Source organism: Homo sapiens, chromosome X (assembly GCF_000001405.40).
Source record: "Homo sapiens chromosome X, GRCh38.p14 Primary Assembly".
Lineage (NCBI taxonomy): Eukaryota > Metazoa > Chordata > Mammalia > Primates > Hominidae > Homo > Homo sapiens.
In genome coordinates, this window is record NC_000023.11 from 131,447,401 (window position 1) to 131,453,400 (window position 6,000).

The following is a 6,000-nucleotide window of genomic DNA, read 5'->3' on the forward strand; positions in this document are numbered from 1 at the left end:
ACTATACATATCACTTTTCCCTCTCACACCTCAATTTTAGGTAAGATATGAACAGCAAAAATTAAGACTGTAGTCTCTGATGACCAATTGAGCTAAAGATTTTCCAGGTTGCCAATTAAGGACCACCTCTTAAATGTTAATAGTTTCCTAACTAGCTTTGAAGTAGCTATCATGTCATGAAAATTACGTAGATTACTTAATTATTTCTGAATGGATGGCCACATATTGCATATTCTCCAAAATATAAGCAAATGGGCTGACAAAGTCCCAAAGTTCTATGACATAGCCCAATATATTTCTCTTAATTTAAAAAAAAATAACCTGTACCATTCCGTGGTTTTAAATATATTCACGAGGTTGTGTGACCATCACCAGTATTTAATTTGACAGTATTTTCATCAACCCAAAAGCCACCCCAGACACATTAGCAGTCATTCTTTATTCCGCCCATCCTTCCAGCCATTAATCTACTTTCTGTCTCTATAGATCTACCTATTCTGGACACTTCATATAAATGAAAGAATATAATATCTTGATTTTTGTGACTGACATCTCATAGTATTCACACGTATTCAAGGTTTATACATCTTGTAGCATACACCAGTAATTCATTTCTTTTTATGGCTGAATAATATGCCATTATATGGATATACCAAATTTTGTTGATCCATTCATCACTTGATGGACATTTTGATTTTTCCCAATAACTAATATTATTATGATTAATACTACTATAAACATTCATGCACAAATTTTTCTGTGAACATATGTTTTAAATTATTTTGTGTATATACCTAGAAGTGTAGTTGCTGAGTCCCGTGATAACTTTCTGTTTGACTTTTTGGGGAACTGTCAAACTATATTCTAAAGTAAATGTACCATTTAATATTTCCACCAAAAATGTACTGGGTTCCAATTTCTCCACTCTTGCTACCAAATGTTATTGTCTGTCTTGTTATTATAGTCGTTCTAGTAGGTGTGAAGTGGTATCTTGTGGTTTTTATTTGCACATCCCTAATGGCCAATGATGTTTAGCATCATTTCTTGTGCTTACTAGCCATTCACATATCTTCTTCAGAAAAATGTCTACTGAAATCTTTGGCTTATTTATTTTAAGAGACAGAGACAGGATCTCACTCTGTTGCCCAGGCTGGAGTGTAGTGGCATGATCATACCTCACTGTAATCTCAAACTCCTGGGCTCAAGTGATTTTTCCACTTCAGCCTCCGTAATAGCCAAGACTACAGATGTGTGACACCACACCTGGCTAATTTTTTAATTTTTTGTAGGAGACGAGATCTCCCAATGTTATCCAGGCTAGTCTCAAACTCCTGCTTTGCCCATTTTTTTATTTTAGTTTTTATTTAAGCTTCAGGGGCACATGGACTGGTTTGTTATATAGGTAAACTCGTGTCATGGGGGTTTGGATGGCCCATTTTTAATTGGGGTATTTATCTTTTTATTATTGAGTTGCAAAAATTCTTTACATATTCTGAATACAAATTCCTTTTCAGATATATAATCTGTTAATATTTTCTTCCAGCCTATTCATTGTCTTTTCACATTCTTGATAGTATTCTTTGAAGCATAGCTCCAACTTTGACAAAATGGAATTTATCTTTTTGTTGTTGTTATTGTTGTTGCTAGTGTTTTCAGGGTAATGTCTAACAAACCATTGCCTAACCTAAGGTGATGAAGATCTACACCTAGGTTTTTATTTAAGACACCTAGGTTTTATACTTTTAGCTTTTATAATAAGGCTTTTGATCTCATTTGAGTTAATTTTTGTATATGGTGTGAGGTAAGAGTCCAACATCATTCTTTTGCACGTAGATATCCAGTTGTTCCAGAACCAGTTATTGAAAGACTACTAATAAGAGCTATTTATGACAAACCCACAGCTGGCACAAGACAGGGATGCCCTCTCACACCATTCCTATTCAAAATAGTGTTGGAAGTTCTGGCCAGGGCAATCAGGCAAGAGAAAGAAATAAAGATATTCAATTAGGAAAAGAGGAAGTCAAATTGGCCCTGTTTGCAGACAACATGATTGTATATTTAGAAAACCCCATCATCTCAGCCCAAAATCTCCTTAAGCTGATAAGCAACTTCAGCAAAGTCTCAGGATACAAAATCAATGTACAAAAATCACAAGCATTCTTATACATCAATAAGAGACAAACAGAGATCCAAATCATGAGTGAACTCCCATTCACAACTGCTTCAAAGAGAATAAAATACCTAGGAACCCAAATTACAAGGGATGTGAAGGACCTCTTCAAGGAGGACTACAAACAACTGCTCAACAAAATAAAAGAGGACACAAACAAATTGAAGAACATTCCATGCTCATGGATAGGAAGAATCAATATCATGAAAATGGCCATACTGCCTAAGGTAATTTATAGATTCAATGCCATCCACATCAAGCTACCAATGACTTTCTTCACAGAATTGGAAAAAACTACTTTAAAGTTCATATGGAATCAAAAAAGATCCTGCATCGCCCAGTCAATCCTAAGCCAAAAGAACAAAGCTGGAGGCATCACACTACCTGACTTCAAACTATACTACAAAGCTACAGTAACCAAAACAGCATGGTACTGGTACCAAAACAGAGATGTAGACCAAAGGAACAGAACAGAGCCCTCAAAAATAATACCATACATCTACAACCATCTGGTCTTTGACAAACCTAACAAAAACAAGAAATGGGGAAAGATTCCCTATTTAATAAATGGTGCTGGGAAAACTGGCTAGCCATATGTAGAAAGCTGAAACTGGATCCCTTCCTTACACCTTATACAAAAATTAATTCAAGATGAATTAAAGGCTTAAATGTTAGACCTAAAACCATAAAAACTCTAGAAGAAAACCTAGGCAATACCATTCAGGACATAGGCATGGGCAAGGACTTCATGACTAAAACACCAAAAGCAATGGCAACAAAAGCCAAAATTGACAAATGGGATCTAATCAAACTAAAGAGCTTCTGCACAGCAAAAGAAACTACCATCAGAGTGAACAGGCAACCTACAGAGTGGGAGAAAATTTTTGCAACCTACTCATCTGACAAAGGGCTAATATCCAGAATCTACAAAGAACTCAAACAAATTTACAAGAAAAAAACAAACAACCCCATCAAAAAGTGGGCAAAGGATATGAACAGACACTTCTCAAAAGAAGACATTTATGCAGCCAAAAAACACATGAAAAAATGCTCATCATCACTGGCCATCAGAGAAATGCAAATCAAAACCGCAATGAGATACCATCTCACACCAGTTAGAATGGCAATCATTAAAAAGTCAGGAAACAACAGGTGCTGGAGAGGATGTGGAGAAATAAGAACACTTTTACACTGCTGGTGGGACTGTAAACTAGTTCAACCATTGTGGAAGTCAGTGTGGCAAGTCCTCAGGGATCTAGAACTAGAAATATCATTTGACCCAGCCATCCCATTACTGGGTATATACCCAAAGGATTATAAATCTTGCTGCTATAAAGACACATGCACATGTATGTTCATTGTGGCACTATTCACAATAGCAAAGACTTGGAACCAACCCAAATGTCCAACGTTGATAGACCGGATTAAGAAAATGTGGCACATATACACCATGGAATACTATGCAGCCATAAAAAATGATGAGTTCATGTCCTTTGTAGGGACATGGATGAAGCTGGAAACCATCATTCTCAGCAAACTATTGCAAGGACAAAAAACCAAACACTGCATGTTCTCACTCATAGGTGGGAATTGAACAATGAGATCACACACCAGGGCCTGTCATGGGGTGGAGGGAGGGTGGAGGGATAGCATTAGGAGATATACCTAATGTAAATGATGAGTTAATGGGTGCAGCACACCAACATGGCACATGTGTACCTATGTATCAAACCTGCACATTGTACACATGTACCCTAGAACTTAAAGTATATAAAAAATTTTTGAAATCTAAAAAGGTAAGCCTCTAACCTTGTTCTTTTTCAGGTTGTTTTGGTTGTTGTCGTCCCCTTGTACTTCCATGTGAATTTTAGATCAGCTTTCCAATTTCTGAAAAACTGGTAGGTGAAATTTGATAAGTACTGTGCTGAATCTGCAGATCAGTTTGTGAAGTATTGCCATTTTAATATTAATTTTTTTTGAGGCAGAGTTTCACTCTGTCACCCAGGCTGGAGTGCAATGGCAGGATCTCAGTTCACTGCAACCTCCGCCTTCCAGGTTCAAGCGATTCTCCTTCCTCAGCCTCCTGTGTAGCTGGGATTACAGGCATGAGCCACCCAACCCAGCTAATTTTGTATTTTTAGTAGGGACGGGGTTTCACCATGTTGGTCAGGCTGGTCTCGAGCTCCTGACCTGAGATGATCCACCCGCCTCAGCCTCCCAAAGTGCTGGGATTACAGGGGTGAGGCACCACGGCTGGCTTAATATTAATATTAAGTCTTGCAATTCATGAACCATTTATTTAGGTCTTTTAACATTTCTTTTGGTGATATCTTACAGTTTTTAGTATATAACTCTTACACATATTTTAAAAATTACTCCTAACTATTGTATTCTTTTGATACTATTGCAAATGAAATTGTTCTTATTTTGCTTTTGGATTTTTATTGCTAGTGTATAAATATACAATTGATTTTGTATATTGATGTTGATAGTCATAACCTTGCTGATCTTGTTTACTAGCTTTACTAGTTTATGTGTGTGTGTGTGTGTGTGTGCGCACGTGCGCGCGCGCATGCGCGTATTCCTTAGTATTTGCTATATAGATTATATTGTTCGTGAATAGAGTAGTTTTGCTTCCTCTTTTCCAATCTGGATGAGTTTTATTTAATTTTCTTGTCTGAATGCCATGGCTAGAATCTAGACTACAATGTTGAATAGAAGTAGTGAGAAGGAACATCCTTGTCTTCCTGATCTCATGGGAAAAGCTTTCACTCTTTGATCATTAAGTATGATGTTAGCTATGGGTTTTTTGTAATGACCTTTATTAGGTTAAATAACGTTCCTTTCTATTATTATTTTGTTTTATTATGAAAGGCTGTCGAATTTTGTCAAATACTTTTGCTGTGTCTATTGAGATGATTCTATGATTTTTTGGTCCTTTATTCTTTGAATATGGTATACTATGTTGATTTATTTTCATATGTTGAAACACTCTTGTATTTATACAGTAAGCCTAACTTGGAATGATACATAATCCTTTTTGGTATTGCCAAATTTGGTTTGCTAGTATTATGATGAAAATTGTTTCATCCATATTCATAAGTGTTATTATTAGTCAGTAGTTTTCTTTTTTATGATGTGTCGTGTCTGCTTTAAAACCAGTGTGATACTCCCCTCAGAATAAGTTGGACAATCCCTCCTCTTCTACTTTTTGCAGAATTTGTCAAGGATTTATGTTAATTTTTCTTTAACGGCTTGGAAGAATTCACCTGTGAAGGCACTAAGCTTGGGATTTTCCTTATGGATAGTTAATTGATTGCTATTCATTGTAAGTCTATTCATATTTTCTATTTCTTCTTGAGTGAGTTTCAGTAGTTTGTACTTTTCTATTAATTTGTCCTTTTAATCTAGGTTATGTAACTTGCTGGTGTACAATTGTTAATAGTATCCTCTACTAATTATTTTCATTTCTGTAAGGTTACTAGTAATGCCACCCCTCTAATTCATGATTTTAGAAGTTTTCTCTTTTCTTGGCCTGTACACTAAACTTTTGTCAATTTTGTAATATTTTTGAAGAATCAACTTTTGGTGTCATTGATTTTCCTCTTTTGCTTTTCTATTGTCTATTTCATTTACTTCTGTATATTCTTTATTATTTCCTTTCTTCTGCTTGCTATGGGTTTAGTTTGCTCTTCTTTCTCTACTTTCTTAAAGTAGAAGTTTGGGTTATTAATTTGAGGTTCTTCTTTGTTAATATGGAGATTTACAACCTTAAAATTCTAAATACAACTTTAGCTGCATCATATAATTTTGGCAGGTTGTGCTTTTGT